Raw genomic sequence first — 18,796 nt, 5'->3', positions numbered from 1 at the left:
CCCATAAGGAGCTTGCCCATCCTTTTCCTTTTTTCTCCATTATGTGTTTTAATTCTGACTTTTAAAAAGTACTTCCCAAGCATGTCTTAAGTGTACCAGAGCAAGAAGCCTATTACATTGATTCAAGTCTACTCAATTGTAAGCTTCAAATCTCTGTTCACTTTCTCAGAGAACCCTTCTCAGCCAGTTAAGTGATTTGACTAGCAGAGCAGATTTGACTTCAACTTTCAGTTATGGTTCCTTTTGACACTTTTCATTCCAGTTTCTTAAGAAATAATGTGTCCACATATATTGGAGCAAAACTGATTTTTCCAGTTTGCCACTTTTTAAAAATGAAATTAAAAAAAGTATTATAATCAGTTGAATTCCCAAAGTATCATATAGGTCTTATTCTCTGTCTAAAATGTCCAAGCTCAACCTCTAATTTCTCTCAAAAGTTTCTGCTTTGACTGTAGCCACAGCTATATGATTTGTTTTCATCTTTCTGAAGTTATCTCAAGAACCATCATAGCTTGGGTTGAACAGTCCCCAGTTTTGCAACATTATTTCCAAAATCCAGCTATCAAAATGAAGCAGCACTGATGATTCACATCAATCACTTTGGTTTGGAGTAGAGATAAAACACTGCCATATTCCAATGTTGGGGCAGGAGCTGCCCAGTTAGAGTCCAGTGGTAACTAGAATATGGCTGTGTCTCATTATTGTTGAGTTCAAAAAGTAACACACGACAGAAAATAATAATGAGTTCAATTCTATCTCAAATATCTTAAAAGAAATTTACAGATATGTAATCTGTACCCCCAGAAGCATTCATCATGTCCGCTTTTTTCTGTTTTCTCAGAGCACAGAGCCTCTCATTAGCATTCCCGTCAGAGAAAACTTCAATTCCAATTGCTTCAGAATCCACTGACTTCAGCTAACCTCCCTCCCTAAGGTCCATTATGTGCAGCTTGACTTGATCTTCATCCTTCAGACCTTTCTTTCTGCCTCCACATGCTCCATCCACTTTGGTCTCATTCTTGTCGATTTTCTGATTCTCTACATCACCGTCAATGGAAACTGTGGGCTACAGGGTCAAATCACTCCTCCCACGGTATCATCCAAGAAAAGTCAGGCCTTTATTTTTTTTAATTATACTTTAAGTTTTAGGGTACATGTGCACAACATGCAGGTTTGTTACATATGTATACATGTGCCATGTTGGTGTGCACCCATTAACTCGTCATTTAACATTAGGTATATCTCGTAATGCTATCCCTCCCCCCTACCCCCACCCCACAACAGGCCCTGGTGTGTGATGTTCCCCTTCCTGTGTCCATGTGTCCTCATTGTTCAATTCGCACCTATGAGTGAGAACATGCAGTGTTTGGTTTTTTGTCCTTGCGATAGTTTGCTGAGAATGATGGTTTCCAGCTTCATCCATGTCCCTACAGAGGACATGAACTCATCATTTTTTATGGCTGCATAGTATTCCATGGTGTATATGTGCCACATTTTCTTAATCCAGTCTATCATTGTTGGACATTTGGGTTGGTTCCAAGTCTTTGCTATTGTGAATAGTGCCACAATAAACATACGTGTGCATGTGTCTTTATAGCAGCATGATTTATAATCCTTTGGGTATATACCCAGTAATGGGATGGCTGGGTCAAATGGTATTTCTAGTTCTAGATTCCTGAGGAATCGCCACACTGACTTCCACAATGGTACAGTCCCACCAACATTGTAAAAGTGTTCCCATTTCTCCACATCCTCTCCAGCACCTGTTGTTTCCTGACTTTTTAATGATTGCCATTCTAACTGGTGTGAGATGGTATCTCATTGTGGTTTTGATTTACATTTCTCTGATGGCCAGTGATGTTGAGCATTTTTTCATGTGTCTTTTGGCTGCATAAATGTCTTCTTTTGAGAAGTGTCTGTTCATATCCTTCGCCCACTTTTTGATGGGGTTGTTTGCTTTTTTCTTGTAAATTTGTTTGAGTTCATTGTAGATTCTGGATATTAGCCCTTTGTCAGATGAGTAGATTGCAAAAATTTTCTACCAGTCTATAGGTTGCCTGTTCACTCTGATGGTAGTTTCTTTTGCTGTGCAGAAGCACTTTAGTTTAATTAGATTCCATTTGTCAATTTTGGCTTTTGTTGCCATTGCTTTTGGTGTTTTAGACATGAAGTCCTTGCCCATGCCTATGTCCTGAATGGTATTGCCTAGGTTTTCTTCTAGGGTTTTTATAGTTTTAGGTTTAAGATTTAAGTCTTTAATCCATCTTGAATTAATTTTTGTATAAGGTATAAGGAAGGTATCCAGTTTCAGCTTTCTACATATGGCTAGCAGTTTTGGGAATCCTTTCCCCATTTCTTGTTTTTGTCAGGTTTGTCAAAGATCTGACAGCTGTAGATATGCAGCATTATTTCTGAGGGCTCTGTTCTGTTCCATTGGTCTATATTTCTGTTTTGGTACCAGTACCATGCTGTTTTGGTTACTGTAGCCTTATAGTAGAGTTTGAAGTCAGGTAGCGTGATGCCTCCAGCTTTGTTCTTTTGGCTTAGGATTGACTTGGCAATGAGGGCTCTTTTTTGGTTCCATATGAATTTTAAAGTAGTTTTTTCCAATTCTGTGAAGAAAGGCATTGGTAGCTTGATGGGTATGACATTGAATCTATAAATTACCTTGGGCAGTATGGCCATTTTCACGATATTGATTCTTCCTACCCATGAGCATGGAATGTTCTTCCATTTGTTTGTATCCTCTTTTATTTCATTGAGCAGTGGTTTGTAGTTCTCCTTGAAGAGGTCCTTCACATCCCTTGTAAGTTGGATTCCTAGGTATTTTATTCTCTTCGAAGCAATTGTGAATGAGAGTTCACTCATGATTTGGCTCTGTGTTTGTCTGTTATTGGTGTATAAGAATGCTTGTGATTTTTGCACATTGATTTTGTATCCTGAGACTTTGCTGAAGTTGCCTATCAGCTTAAGGAGATTTTGGGCTGAGACAATGGGGTTTTCTAGATATACAATCATGTCATCTGCAAACAGGGACAATTTGACTCCCTCTTTTGCTAATTGAATACACTTTATTTCCTTCTCCTGCCTGATTACCCTGGCCAGAACTTCCAACACTATGTTGAATAGGAGTGGTGAGAGAGGGCATCTCTGTCTTGTGCCAGTTTTCAAAGGGAATGCTTCCAGTTTTTGCCCATTCGGTATGATATTGGCTGTGGGTTTGTCATAGATAGCTCTTAGATTATTTTGAGATACGTCCCATCGATACCTAATTTATTGAGAGTTTTTAGCATGAAGTATTGTTGAATTTTGTCAAAGGCCTTTTCTGCATCTATTGAGATAATCATATGGTTTTTGTCATTGGTTCTGTTTATATGCTGGATTATGTTTGTTGATTTGTGTGTGTTGAACCAGCCTTGCATCCCAGGGATGAAGCCCACTTGATCATGGTGGATAAGCTTTTTGATGTGCTGCTGGGTTTGGTTTGCCAGTATTTTATTGAGGATTTTTGCATCGATGTTCATCAGGGATATTGGTCTAAAATTCTCTTTTTTGTTGTTGTTGTTGTGTCTCTGCCAGACTTTGGTATCAGGATGATGCTGGCCTCATAAAATGAGTTAGGGAGGATTCCCTCTTTTTCTATTGATTGGAATAGTTTCAGAAGGAATGGTACCAGCTCCTCCTTGTACCTCTGGTAGAATTTGGCTGTGAATCCTTCTGGTCCTGGACTTTTTTGGGTTGGTAAGCTATTAATTATTGCCTCAATTTTAGAGTCTGTTATTGGTCTATTCAGAGATTCAACTTCTTCCTGGTTTAGTCTTGGGAGGGTGTATGTGTCCAGAAATTCATCCATTTCTTCTAGATTTTCTAGTTTATTTGTGTAGAGGTGTTTATAGTATTCTCTGATGGTAGTTTGTATTTCTGTGGGATCTGTGGTGATATCCCCTTTATCATTTTTTATTGTGTCTATTTGATTCTTCTCTCTTTTCTTCTTTATTAGTCTTGCTAGCGGTCTACCAATTTTGTTGATCTTTTCTAAAAACCAGCTCCTGGATTCATTGATTTTTTGAAGGGTTTTTTGTGTCTCTATTTCCTTCAGTTCTGCTCTGATCTTAGGCCTTTTTTAAGAGATTTTCACCAACCTCTCTCAACACCTCCCCTTTCTCCTACACTTCTATACTCAAATCTCCCACAGGGACTCCCTGCATGAAGAAAAATATGAACGTTTAATTTTCCAGCCACAAGCCAGTATTATTCTCTATGCAGGGTGTGCTAGACCTTCAGGAGCTGAGGGAGGGGAGACCCACTGAGCAGCCTTCTGTGGAGCAGAGTGAAAGACAAGTTAGATGCAGGTGCTGTTCAGAAGCTTTATTTCTCTGTATAATCAGACACAAGTGATAACATTGTCAGGAGGAAAGGAGGCTTCCACGATCTTGGAAAACACATGGGTGGAGCCTTTTGGAAAAAGCACAATTCTTCCCCATGAATGAATGGTTAATTAGCATGTCTAAGAAAGGATCTAACAAGTTGGGGCTTTTCCTTTTTCCTTGAGATACTTGTTTCCTCTAAAGTCGCTTGTCTCAGCATCAGGAATTAGGTCAGCAGCAGCCTCCAGAGCCATAGCCACAGTCGGAGGCACCATCTTGCTGACCACTGCCTCTGTCACAGGAGTTGGAGCTCTGGCGCCGGCATCGGTGGGACCTGCAGCACCTGTGGTGGCTCAGGCAGCAGCCGCCCTCAGAGCTGGGGCCACCACAGCACCCAGGTCTTGGAGCACAGCAGGAGGAGGCTGGAGGCAGACACTGTGCTGAGCTCTTTGGGGGGCACTTGGGTGAGGGGCACTTGGGCAGAGGCTGGCACTGCTGCTGGTTCTGCTGGCAGGACATCTTGGCAGGAGGTGACAGCCTGGATAGATAAAAGGAAAAGGTCAACGCAAAAGCTCCAGGCTAATGTCTCCTCTACAAATGGTTTTATGAAGCCCTTACTCCTAATACCAGTTGCTTCCTGAGATATGCACTTCAGGAATAAAAACAGAAACTGATCTCAAGTAAAACTGGCCTGGTAAGACATTTCCTTCCATTTTTCCCTCTTCCAGAAAAGAATGCTGGTGTCTTCTAACTGGGTCCCAAGTCCTCCTGTCTTCACAAAAACACTGATGCAAAAGCACCTAATTGAGTAATGATTCTCAGAGAATATCACTGGGCATGTATGCATCTCCCAGGAAAAGAGTGGAGAGAATGCTGAGAGCCAGGGCTCTGGTGAGTCACAGACTCCCATGCACCCCAAAGAGGTTCCTTGCTCACTGCCCCTTCCCCTACCCTCAGCTGCCCTCTGAAGTCCTCTTCCTGCTGTCTGTACATCTGACACCTCTGCTTCCCCCTTCCCTAGTAAAATCTGGGCTTATCTTCCCCAGACACCCCCAGCTGAGGGTCCCCTGCTAGATACTTGCCAGATACAGAAGATGCTGAAGAGGAGAAGGCTGTTCTCTAGGAGGCTGTGGATGAGGAGCCCAAGATAAGAGGCTTTTTATCTTGTGCAGGGTTAGAGATGCACAGACCAGGCATGCTGCTTTCACAACAAGGGGAGGTGGCAGAGCCAAACACTCCCATCCCAGGCCTCCAGCATCTTGCTTCATGCTTGCCAAGATGCCTGGCAAGAGGGAACCAGGAAGTCTTGATGACAGATCTCCACGTGTGTTGGGGACCTGTCATTTCTTCTCCTTTCACTCATTCAGTTTGGATGCTTTAGTTTGAGCTCTGCCTCTTGCACTTTGAGGGAGAATGTAAAGATGCATATGACACATTTCCTGACCTTGAGCCTTTCAAAGTTAACTGGACTAACATCAGAGATGTAAACTTATGTGTCTGATATGATATCATGTGATTCGTCCTGGGTATCCCAGGATGTCTTTTTTTGGACATCACTTCCCTATTCCTCTGCATATTCCCCAGGGGCATGGTTTGTTGAGATGTAATTGGCTCCTGACTCTTGGGGATGTTGGGTGATCTGAGACTATTGGACCCTGGGAGTGAGATGTATTAGGTAATGAATGGAGAATGGGACACAAGCCCTGTCTGGGGCTGTTGGGGCCCTTAAGAGAATTAAGGTAGGATTATATGAATAAGCAGACAAAATCATTAAGGAATATACAATAGTTGAGATCACAAGACTCATACTTAATATGAAAAAGGTCAATTTGCCCATATTTAGCTTCCCATGGGATATATGATACTGATTATAAGCAAATAAAATGGTCCATGAGCATAAAATATGTAAGATAGTTGGTGTGAGTCATGAACATGATTCGTTCAATGTATTGTTGATGATGAGGTTAGTGATGGTAGTAACATCATGTGCATCAAATTTAATGGAACAAACCTTATAAATTCTAAGGTTTCTGTAGGATGACATATAAAGTCTGATTTGTATTTTTCCCATTTGATTGTATAATAGTTTTAGACATGAATTTTTCACTGAATTCATCTCTATTATTATAATACCTGAACTTTGCTATTTGTTTCTAAAAAGTTAAAGTCAGAACTATAACAGAACATTAAATTTAAGTTAAATGGTAATTTTAAATAACACATGTTTATGGTAAATGCCTGTTATTGCTCCCTGTACTTGATAGTTTATGGCTTTTAGACAACAAACTCCTTATCAGAGTATGCACTTTACAACTTACCCTCTTTAAAACATGGTGGGAGGTGGGGGGCAGAATTCCATGATTTATTTTGAGATATTTAAGAGAAAGTGAATTGTCTCTAGGAATGTGGCTTGGGAATGGAGGAAGAGGAAAAGGATCAGACCTGTCATTGACTCCCCTCTCTGATATTCTTCTGCCTGCAGAAGCCTCTTGCTGAAGGGATATTTTTGGGCTTAGCCCCGGGACTACACTAGGTGTCCATTTCTTTTGCATTCTTTAGAACACACAAATTGCTAGTGCATTGGAAGGAATTACTCATGATGGTTGAAATGGGTACTTTCTCATTCCATACTGGTGAAGTTGAAGAGGGACACAATCTGTTGAAAAATTCAGTTAAAAAATTACTGGGGTTTAGACTTTGCTGCAAATCTGAACGTTTATTTCTCTGTATCTTGTATTTATCATAAGCAAGTCTTGTCCTCCCAACAGAGCAAGCATGATAGCCATTTTCCTGCATGGGTTGCAACCCTGAGTCATTGGCAGCTGAGGGAGGTAGGAGATGGAAGCGTTAATTGAGAAAGAAACATAAATCACACATTTTGGGCAAGTTTCAAAGGAAAAAAAATCCTTGCCTATGACATTCAATATATCGTGTTACCGCTGTTTTATAAAACACAATAGATGACTGTTAGGCTTTCCTCCAGCCCCATTCTTGACTGCCTGTCTTGAAAGCCTCCCCACAAGACCTGGAGAGCTCATTAATCTCCCTTCTACCTTAGTGATTGCTCCTGTCACCACTCTCCTCTTCCTGAAATCAGGTGTCCACAGTTCTCACACGCACAGGATTTGTCCCGTGATGACAAACAGTAGCTATAAGATCATGATCTTGTCACTTCCCCTACAGCACAAGGGCACCTCCCTGAGAATCACTAGTCCTGAGAGTCCCATCCTGAGGAGCCTTGGCTTCCTGTGGCCCAAAGACATCAAGGAAATACAGAGACTGCTCTGGCTGGATGAATCCAGGAAAAATTTCATGACTTAGTCATTCCAATTGGTACTATAGGAACAGGCACTGCAGGACCTCAGATTTAGCCCCTTGGAGTGCATTTTGGACATTCCACATCAGCAATCAAGGATGAGTCAACAAACAGAATTCTTCTCCCTTTGCTTAAAACTCACAGTTCCTTCTCCATTCTGTTCCTGCCATGTCTGCGACAATCAAATTCCATGGCAAGCAGCTAAGTTATTCTTAAGGAAAATGGGAAGCAGTGGCCAGAAAGTGCCATATACCTCCAACGTGCCTAAGTTTCTTATATGGATTTGAATTTTTCCCTCAGATTAAATAGTATTTTGAGATATTTACACCGCTCTATTCTCCTGAGAAAGCTCTGGTAGGACCCAGTGTGTAAGAAGATGTTGGACTCAAATTTTCTTCTTGTATTACGATGTTGGCTGAAGTCAAAAGATGAAAATAGTAGATGCCTCTTATCCCCATATACTAAAGTAAACTTAGGATAAGCTGCTGAAAATCTCTGCAAGACTTGCTAAGAAAAAAAAATAGAACTCTATTTCTCTGGTTCAGCTATATATTTGGAAGGTTGAACTTTGGTGAGAATTTTTTAGATAGGAAAGTTATTATCCTAAAAGACAATGATGTAGTCTCCCCCTAATCTTGTACATGGGAGGGAAACTGGTTGTTCTCCTACAACAGAGGTCAATTGAAAGGGCAGGATTCACAATGACAGCCTGTAGATGTTAGAGATTCCTTCAAGAAAGAAAGACAGCATTTTTATCCCCCAGCAGAATGTCTGCTGTAGTAGTAGACTTGATGTTCTAACCTCTGAGCCTATTGTTGAATAAAGAAAAGGAACTGAAGAGATAGAACAGGACATTGAGACATAACAGCAGATGACATCTAAGAAGGAAGACCAGCTTCCACAGTCTTGCTAGTGTTGTGCTTAGGATGGTTTTCTGTTGGGCAGACAGACCTCATTATCGAGAAGCCATGGCTGGTGCCAACGAAGGTAGGAGCTTAGGGAGTACGTGAAGGGTTAAATCCGACTGCTCATCCCATGTCTGGAAATCATGCTGTTAGGAAAATGCTTGAAGATACTCCAGGACTCACAAAAGCACCCTATAAGACAGCCCTCCTGCAGAACCTGCCACACAGAAGAAGCAGAGACAGCCCTGCCGCAGAACCTGCCAACAGAGGAGGCTAGTGGTACAGTCACATGTGTAATGATTCTCCCTCCCCTTTTCCATCTCCCAATACAATGGAGGAGGAAGGGCTACTGAGGAAGAAGGTGGAGGGGTGGTAGTGAATGAGAGAAAGAGCCCATCATATTCCCCTTCCAACTCCAGTCTCCTGGGAGATACCTGGACAATGCTTGTGTGCAAGGGAGAATTTGAGTTTCAAATTTTGTTCAGAATTAAATTTAGCTGGTCTGGACTTTAGTATCCATAGAAGTGACTGACGAAATGTGGAATTTCCCTGAGGTATTTTCAAGAGAGATTCAACAGAGCATAGGAAAAAACAATGACCGAAAAAGACAATGCTTCATGTTTTTATTGTACTGACTTTAGACTGTTCAATACACAACTTAGTAGGCTCTTAGGTTTTTATAAGAAAGGGGCAGTTTTGGATTCTCCCACCCTTTCTAGCATCAATCAAATCAATAAATGCCCAGATTTCAGGTCCCCAAGGACAAACGAGAAGCAAGTTCAGGAATGTTGGTGGAAGCTTCATAATGACCACACACAGGTACTGTAAAGGCAACTGGAAGTAGAAACTGGGTAGTTACTGGAGACATGATGGAGTTTGGAAGGTCAGGGAGGAAGTCTTTCATGAACAGGAGTATCTTAGAAGATCAAGAGGGAGGACAGGGAGTTGGGTGTTGGATGGTGAGAATATTCATGTGCTACTTACCTGTAGTCCATGGGGAAAAAGGAAAACTCTCTGGGAGGCAATAGAAGACCCTGACCAATATGACCCTTGACAAATTCCGTTTCTTCAACACCTGCCATCTCTTTTGCCAATTCTTTGCTACAGTTATCTTTTACCATGTTTTCTTTCAACATTCTGCCTATCCTGAATGTAGGGAGAGGAATGGACATATTAGGGGCATGAAGGGTCTGTGCTAGGTCCCAGGCAGCTGCATCACTTTAGTGACAGATACTCTGCTCAATGAATATACTTTGGCTCTGAGGGAGGTCTCATCTCCAGGGGGCTTGGAATGGACACAAGCTTGTTCACTGTGGGATGCAAAACTGCAGCAGAGTGGTTGGGGGAAAAGTGAAAGGAAGCATTGAAAGAGCTCAATGACGTTTGACAGAGAAAATTGGGAGTGGGCACCACAAGAGTGTTCTGACTGGAACTGCACCTGGGCATTCTGTTGAGTGAGGATCTTTCTGGTAATAAGACCTAAGAAGGGATTACTAAGACAAGGATACGCTGAGTTCGAAACCAAACACTTGTTGATGCAAATGGCTTTGAAACACAAAAGATTAGGATTTATAGTACCTGCCCAATTCTCAGACTATTAACAGTAATTTCTACAAGGGCATTCCCACCCTTATTATCTTCACTAATGTTCCACGGGACTTCTCCACCAAGGAGGAGCAGAGGTGAGGGAGGAGGAAAATCACCACACTGGGAAGAGGCTTCTCTCTTTGCTTCACTGGATCATCCAGCCCTGCTCCACTGTGGTTTTCAGTGCCCTGGTCACTGCATGAGTGACAGCATCCAGAGGGCTGATGCTGTGCCTTGTGGGATGTGTAAAGCCTGTGATGGCTCAAACAGGATCAAAAATTGGATCTTTTTATGTTTATTTCAAAGCATATGTGGCTTTGAATCCACAACTTAGGAAAAATTCCCGAGCAGAGGAGTGCAGGAAATAGAAAGTAACTTGGGTTGAGGCATCCTGATTCCAGTGAGGACTGAGCAAACCTTAGAGCTCTTTTTCTATTTTCTTTTGCAGGCAAGAAATGGGTGTTGGGATTGGGAGGGGTGAGAATGTGAGTCTCGTTTAGGAGTCAGCTTCTTTGCCTCTGTAGCCCCAAGACCTCTGTATCTCCATGGCAGGTGTCAAGAGTTTTGAGGAGAGTGGGGATTCAAGAAACCCCGTGACTATTCACATACCTGTGCCTCAGTCTTTCTGTAGGTCTGCAATTCTTCATTTTTCATTCATTAACATCATTCCTTCTTTAAACAAGTTATATTGAGATGGTGACACTCACTGTGCTGGGCAAAGCAGATTCAAGACTGAAGAAGATACCATCCCTACCCTTAGGCTGATGGTGTAGTGAGACTGACAGATAAGTAGGAAACTAAGCCTGAGCCAGGAGAGGGTGCTGGGATACAGTGTGTGGGAGTCCCCAGGCCTGAAGTCAGGGTTTTGGGGCATTAGTCCCTTTTGGTTCTGTAGCGACTCTGAATAAATGATGAATCCAAAAGGTGTCACCTGCTGTCACTTGGGATTGTTGATGGGATGAATGAGAAGTGGAGCCTGTATCCATCCAAGGGCAGTAAACCGAGGCATGGCAACTAAGAGAAATTTGTGGACCCAAGAAACATCAAGGAGGTGCCCAGGAGAAAGAGACAATGCTGAGGTCGAGGTAGAACAGGGCTGAGGGGAATACTGGGGACATGTACAGTCTTGAATGCAGAATAATTTGCTCATTAAGAGCATCCATTTTGGAGACAGGAACTTCTAGGTTTTAATCTTTCCCTGCTTCTCCTAATAGCTGTATTAAGGTAAAGATGTCTGAGGCAAAACAAATCTGTTTACATGGAGGCAAAATGACCCAGGGATATCACAGGTAAATTCAGAGACAAGTATAAGAAATCCACAATGGCTTTGGTAATATGCATCATGGATTAACATACATTTAAGGAACCTTGTGTCAGGATCTTAGCGACTGTACTATTGATTCTAAGAGACCCAGGGAAGAGAGTGATTCAAATTGGATGGGATGACTAAAAGAGATTTGTCCAAATAGAAATGATAATTGATGGGTATGATTATAATGAGGTTAATATGATCACCGTGAGCACCTGACACAACATGGACCAAGGTTGTAGAGAGAGCACTAAACTCTATAGTATTTTTCCAATGCATTTATTATAATAATAGATATATATTTTATCCTGAATCATGATATATTAAAAGTATGTAAAAATGGAATACACATGTAAGTTTCAAACATATCCTAAAACGACAAGGTTTTAATAAAACATTATTATTGCATTAAATGTGTCTGAGTATCCTGATACAGGGAAGGGTATAGGTGTGGCCATTTTTTTTATTTGCTCCATACATTATAGCTAAGTACCAAACAGAAGCACTTTCAAGATACTTGGGTGAATGGGGTTGTTCACTGAGAACTGGGAAGTGAGAAAGGCACTGGGAAGGGACAAGGACTTTTCAACTTTTAAACAAACATTTCACCATTGGAATCACCCACCTACCCCTTGACTCACTAAGCTCCTACCTTTGATGTGGAAACAACCAGACATTGGATGTCCTTTTTGTATTCACCCAAAAAATGATATCCAGTTTTCAAAAGTTTGCCCATGATGGGTGCCTTCACTGGGTTTAGCCACCCTTTACCGGCATCTGTCAAGTGCCCCAGAGTGGGAATCCAACTGAATATAGAACCATCTTTGTCTAAATCTGCTGACAAGCCAGGAAACCAGAAGATGTCTCCAATGGGCCCACTGGAACATAAGCTGCCTGAAAGGGGACTTCATCTTGTTTCACACTGATCTAAACACCTAGACCAGTGCCACAAAACTACGTGTTGAGCAGATAAATTATGAATGATTGGGTGTTGGACTTGGTCTAGAAGTCATAACACAACATTCTTTATGTCGCCTGGGCTGATTTTATTCAAGAGTTTCTCAATTTTTGAGTAGCAAGTGGTTGTCGTAGTGAATCAAAAGTCTGTATCATAGGCTTTTATAAGTCCTACAGCTGTGGTAACTTCTTAAACAAATCTTTCTTAGCTAGTTGAATCAGTAAATGATGAATCCAGCCAGAGTAAATGATGAATCCAGATGGTGTCACCTGCTGTCACCTGGGATGGTTGATGGGATGAGTAAGATGTGGAGCCTGTATCCATCCAAGGGCAATAAACCCAGGCATGGCAACTAAGAGGAATTGAGCTGGGCAGTCGATCTAAACTCATCAGAGCAGTTCTGACATCAACTTCCTCATAGGATCCCTTTGGGTACCTTTTTCATCCCAATGAGTTAAGAAAATGAATGTCTATGAACACAGAAGAGGGGAGTAATTTTCTTTTCCCTATTTCCCAAGAGCTTGGAAAAAAAGCTTCTAAAATTTAATATATTCACCTATTACTGGATACATTAATTTCTCTGTTGTATCTAGCCCTAAACTACTCTTAAGATCTGCTCTTTCACTTTGGCTCAGAGTTTATGAGACCTCCTTGGATTGCTAGTATTTTACTGATGAGCACCAAGGCTTGAATTTTTACTGAGTCTTTCTCCAGTTCATTAACATTCTCAAAATTGGTAGTGAAAGTGAATTGTTGTTTTAATGCACATCAAAAATAATGATTTTAATCCTGTGGTGCAGCTGAATACTACACTCTGGGTCCAAACTCTGGGAGGCGAACTCCTTAAAAGTGTGATTCATATGGTTTGGTGGTTTAGTGATGTATAATTCAAACAACAAAATACTGTGGACTAAAATAATTACAAAACAAATCCATTGTTTACTCACATCTCTTAAAACATTTTAGAAGAACTTAGAACACCACAGTCATCAGGAGCATAGGCTTCTCAGCAAAACTGCCAAGGTTTGCATGGCAGCTGTTGGGAGACCCTGGACACTCATTCCATGATGATTCCCATCTGTAAAATGGGACAAGGGTTGTACGTAACTTGAAGGACTGCAGTGAGGATTAAATTATTTACTGTATGTCAAGCCACTGGCACATCATGAGTAGTATACAAATCATTGACCCTATGAATATATCCAGTTTACAACTCCTGCAATGATCAGGTTTTTATTTTCTTACTTCTTCTAAGTTCCTCTCAGTGTATACCTCTGCAACCATCTACATTTCTCTCCTTGCACCCATCAACTATTCAGCTTTCAAGGATCCCTTCCTACCTCCTCAACACCCAGATCTTCCATATAGAAATAAGGTGAACTTTCCTCCCTGCAGCCATGTGGCCTTCTGTAGCCTCTTCCTAGCAGCAACTCATGGTCTCCCTATGAGTAGAGAGAAGTGTTGTCTCTCATTCCTCTCATCCTGTGAAGCATTCAGTCTGGGAGATAAGGCATGGGAGAGCAATGGAGCAGCCTTCGGAGGGGCAATATAGAAACGTAGGTGAGAAAGGAAAGCTTTATTTTTTACAGAGTGAGACATAAGTGCTGCTAAGCACTGACCAGAACATGGATGTGGAGACAACCATGAGGGACACCAGGGAGACCACTGGAGATCACTGACAACCCTTGTCAGGATGAACTCAGGAGCTCCGACCATGGGCAGGAGGTTAGGAGCAGGTACATCAGACTGAGGTTAATCCTGGGCACTTTGGGTCTCTGATTCCTCTAAAACTGCTTATCTCAATGCACTGCCCAGGTCAGCAGCAGTGCCCAAAGCTCTGGCAACAGCTGCAGCTGCCAGTGGGTAAACTCACAGCAGTCATGTCTCTAGTGCCTGTGCCAGTGGAAGAGATAGCACCTGTGGTAGCCCAGGCTGCAGCTGCCCCCTAAGAGTTAAAGCAACCCCTGGAGCTGGAGCCATAGCAGGAGAAGACTGAAGGTAGACTAGACATGGGGCTCAGACTGGGTGGGGAACTCTGGGAGCCTTTGGAGGCTATCCCTGCTGCGCGTTTTGCTGACACAAAATCTCAGAAAGCATCAATGACTCTAGAGAGAATGCAATAATGCAAATGAATCTTTGTAATATCTCTTCTCTGATGGGTGTACTTCTGCACTAAGAAATATAGGGAGGAGGACCAGGGGCCATGGCTCACGCCTGTAATCCCAGCACTTTGGGAGGCCGAGGCAGGCGGATCACCAGGTCAGGAGATCGAGTCCATCCTGGCTAATATGGTGAAACCCCGTCTCTACTAAAAATACAAAAAATTAGTACAGCGTGGTGGCGGGCACCTGTAGTCCCAGCTACTCGGGAGGCTGAGGCAGGAGAATGGCGTGAACCTGGGAGGCAGAGCTGGCAGTGAGCCGAGATCACGCCACTGCACTCCAGCCTGGGTGACAGAGCGAGACTCCGTCTCAAAAAAAAAGAAAAGAAAAGAAAAGAAATATAGGGAGGAAATGAAAATAAATTTGGAGTTAGTTTATCCTGGAAAGATGTTCTTTTCTCTTTGGTCACCTGCTACAAAATGATACTGGGTCTTTTCTAATTGAGCAGCTGAGGTGTCCTATCTTCATGTAATCACAGAGGAGAATAAACCTGTTTGGGTAAAGCTTCCTTGATGATGTCTGGTGAGATCAGTGCATCTCTCAGAACATATATAGGAAGAAGATGAGGGTGTGCTGAAGACCCATGACCTTCGCAGTCACAGGACACCTGATACATCCCGGGAGGGTGCCCATTAACCCCACACTCTTCCTGCTTCCTCCATCCCATACCCTCTGCTTCCTTCTCCCCTGATGGAAGAAACCCGGGCTTGTCTTCCTAGGTCTTCCAGCTCAGGTCCTGTCTCCAGCTAGACATCCATCTGGTTTCATGGCAGCAAGAGAAAGCTTATTCGAAAGAAGTCCATGGTCTGGGAAGCCCAAGACAGAGCTGCTAGATTGTGAGGGGCAGCATGAATGGGTTGCTCGGGGAGGTGACAGCACCAAACAACCCAGCCCAGGTCCAGGCCTTCACCGTCTTCCCAGGAACAGGGTGGCATGTTTGACACAGGAAGCCCTGGTCCTCACTTGTACACCTTCCACCCAGGCCTACATGTGTGCTTAAAATATGTCATGCTCCATGCATTGTGGTGGAAGGTAGAGTTCAATATGACACATCACCTGACCTATAGAAATTAACTGTCTAACTGCACAGGCAGTCAAGTAAATAGGGAGACTGCTTCCATGAGATAAGTACTGCAATGTAAATGACTACCCACGAAGTCCATGGTTCTTTGCCCATCTACTTTTTTCTGTAATGTTCCCTTAGGAAAATCAAGCATCAGATGTGATCAGCACTTGCTGTTGGGGTGGTGACTGAGGTAAGGATGCTGGACATTCAGAATGGGCTGTGTGTAAAACAGATGGAAGGGTAAAGTCAGCGGAGATGAGGACTCTTGAAAGAGCCTCACTGGTACCCAGGAGGTAACATAGGCCCCTGGGCAGGAGAGGAGGGGAGCCAAATGAATACCTGATTGAGGGGCAAATATGGAGAAGGAAAGTACAACAATTGGAGTGCCAAGAGTCACAGTAAGCACATTACAAAAGGCATGACCTTCCATCAAAATCCAGGGAATGTGTGCTCTTTATTTGAAGACCATGAAAACACAGAGGGAGGAGTCGTTCATCTGCTTGGACTCGAAATGAAGTTCTGCAAGCATGCATGATAATGGATGGGCTTGATGAAGATGACTTTGGTATGTGTTGCTGCTTTTGAGGTTGATGGTAGTGCTGGGTGCATCTCATGTAATGGAGCTGACCTGATCATGTCTATATTTTGGGTACGGAGAATTGATGCAAACTGAATGCTATTTTCTCTGCGAATTTCATTTTAATTGTAGATAAATTTCTCATTCAATTAATCTCTAATATTAAAATAAGTACCTTTTTCTAGATATTTTTCAAGATAAATCAGTCAGGCTGTAATCAAACTTTATACATATTTAAATTAAATTATAATTGTCAACAAAAATTAAATTATGTTCACTATTGGGGTTATAATTTTTGTCTTCTTATTCTGCCTGACAGCCCACCCTAGCAAACTGAAATAGTGATGCCTGTGGGAGCATAAAGGCACTGGGCCGTAGGAAAGAGGGTGGCTCTGAATGTGGACTGGGGAGAGGGTAGGTTTAGGTATTGATATTCTCAGCAGCATTTTCCTGCCTCCAGCACATGACCCCTGTCTCTGTCTTGGAAGTATTTTCAGGAATTATCCCTTGAACTACTCTTGGGTGGCCACTTTACTCTTAATGTTAAGGGTCCCTTCAGTGGCCTCTGTCCTGCAAAGAGACATTTAAAAGAGATAGACCAAGCACTTTCTCATGGTAGCCAGATTGTGGGGCTGAATATAGCTGAGTGACCACTTTTGCTTCTTAGGAGTAAAATCTGTAGTCATTGGGATACAACAACAGAGGAGTAAGTTCTGAAGTTTCAGAACACCCCAGAACTGTAATGGGGGGCCCTTTCTGTTCCTATGGAATGCAGCAGATGTCCACAAATGAGTTTCTCCACAGCCCCAACCCTGATGCCTGGCTTGGGAGGCTCCATACCCATCCTGGTGATGGTGCCCATCAACCTTTCCTCCCCTCCATGAGGGGCTCCCAATTCCTCGCTCCTCTGTTTGTCATCAGAGCAAAAACTACACAGGTCTGAGGCTGAGCAGGTGTCCTGTGATGACAGAGGGTTGGCTGGGAGAACACAGCCCAGTTACTTGCCCGAGCATGAGGTCAGCTCTCTGGGGTCACCTCTACCAGGGGTAACACACTTAAATCTCTGGCTTTCTAAGGTCCTGCGAGTTCGGGTGACAGGAGAACCTGGCCTGGATGGATAAATCCTGGATAGTTTCCTAACAAGTGAGACACCGTGGTAATGAGAACAAGAAGCTTTATTTTTTGGCAGGGTTAGGCACAGGGAACTGCCAATCCTTGGCAGGGGCAGGGATGAGGGAACTGTGAGATCCTATACACCAGACAGGAAGCACCTTCTGGGGACAGCTTGGATACTCAACAGGAACACCCCCAGCTCAGCTTGTGAAAGCCAGAACAAGGTATCTGGAAAAGCATGCATCAGGATGGAGCTTTTCCTGGGCCTTTGGGATCCTTGTTTCCTCCAAAGATCACTTGTCTCATCATCAGGATCCAGGTCAGCAGCAGCCCCCAGAGCCATGGCCACGGCAGGAGCCCCCGCCTTGCTGACCACTGCCCCTGTCACAGGAGTTGGATCTCTGGCGCCGGCATTGATGGGACCTGAAGTGCCTGTGGTGGCTCAGGCAGCAGCCACTTTCAGAACTGGGGCCACAGCCCCCGGAGCTTAGAGCACAGTCAGAAGAGGGTGGAGGCAGACACTGTGCTGGGCTCTTTGGGGGACACTTGGGTGAGGGACAACTGGGAGGGGGCTGGCACTGCTGCTGGTTTTGCTGGCAGGACATCTTTGCAGGAATGCAGGAATTTTACCTTGAACAGAATAATAGAAACATTTGAGCACAGAACCCTCAGACCATCTCCTTATTTTTGGGTTTGTCACACACTGACCCCCTTGATGAAGCCACTTTCTAAGCCAAGATCTGTAGGAGAGAAATGGGAATGTAGTAGAGGGAACCCTACACATGCATTTGGATAAAGCAACCTTAAAAATATAAAATGGATCTATGTGCATTCCTGACAACATGCTCCAAACAAGAATGTGAAGGAATCCTAAGGTCCTGCGGGTTTTGCAGCTCACGGGTCCCTGACATGTGCTTTAGAGGCTCCTTATTCTCCATCACCTCCCCCACTGCTGCCCACTGTGGGCTTCTTTCTGATGGTTCCATTTCAGTTCTGGGCCTCTCTTTCCCAAACACTCCCAGCTGAGGATCTGTCCCCTGCTGGCCACTCACCAGATGCAGAGGAGGTAGGAGAAGAAGGCTGCTCCTAAGGATGCTGTGGATGAGAAGCCCAGGGTAGGAGCCCTTTTATCCCGTGCAGTGTACACGATGATGCACAACCTGAGTATGCTGCTGTTTTCACAACCAGGGAGGTGACAGCACCAGACACTTCCCAGTTGCCTGCTGCCTCAGCATGTGCCTAAAGGTGTAATAAGATGACCCCTGTGTCTTCCTGGGCACATGCCTAAAGATTTAATAAGATGGAAGCAGGATGTCCTCGTGACTGCAGAAGTACTTCCCACTCTGGTCCACCCTGTACCTCCTGCCCACCTCTGCTTGTTCATTCCAAGCTCTGTTCGTTTTACTTCTTTCAACAGTAGTAGTATGGAGATGTAT

General features: G+C 43.4%; 2 protein-coding genes across 2 annotated transcripts; both read right to left on the bottom strand.

Moving 5' to 3' along the window:
- Positions 1 to 4,598: 4,598 nt before the first annotated feature.
- On the bottom strand, positions 4,599 to 4,886 carry LCE3B (late cornified envelope 3B). Its single transcript, NM_178433.1, has one exon. The coding sequence runs from the start codon at positions 4,884 to 4,886 to the stop codon at positions 4,599 to 4,601; it is 288 nt and encodes a 95-aa protein (NP_848520.1).
- A 12,724-nt stretch (positions 4,887 to 17,610) lies between these two features.
- On the bottom strand, positions 17,611 to 18,463 carry LCE3C (late cornified envelope 3C). Its single transcript, NM_178434.3, has 2 exons — positions 18,413 to 18,463; positions 17,611 to 17,990 (listed from the first exon to the last, which is right to left on the bottom strand). Exon 2 carries the CDS (start codon positions 17,963 to 17,965, stop codon positions 17,681 to 17,683), a length of 285 nt encoding a protein of 94 aa, NP_848521.1. The 5' UTR covers positions 17,966 to 17,990; positions 18,413 to 18,463; the 3' UTR covers positions 17,611 to 17,680.
- Between the last annotated feature and the right edge of the window lie 333 nt (positions 18,464 to 18,796).

Source organism: Homo sapiens, chromosome 1 (genome assembly GCF_000001405.40).
Source record: "Homo sapiens chromosome 1, GRCh38.p14 Primary Assembly".
In the NCBI taxonomy this organism is placed as follows: domain Eukaryota; kingdom Metazoa; phylum Chordata; class Mammalia; order Primates; family Hominidae; genus Homo; species Homo sapiens.
This window is presented reverse-complemented; position numbering and strand designations above follow the sequence as displayed.

Excerpts from the sequence above, each read along its gene's own strand:
- LCE3B (NM_178433.1), bottom strand. The coding sequence starts at position 4,886 with ATGTCCTGCCAGCAGAACCAGCAGCAGTGCCAGCCTCTGCCCAAGTGC.
- LCE3C (NM_178434.3), bottom strand. The coding sequence starts at position 17,965 with ATGTCCTGCCAGCAAAACCAGCAGCAGTGCCAGCCCCCTCCCAGTTGT.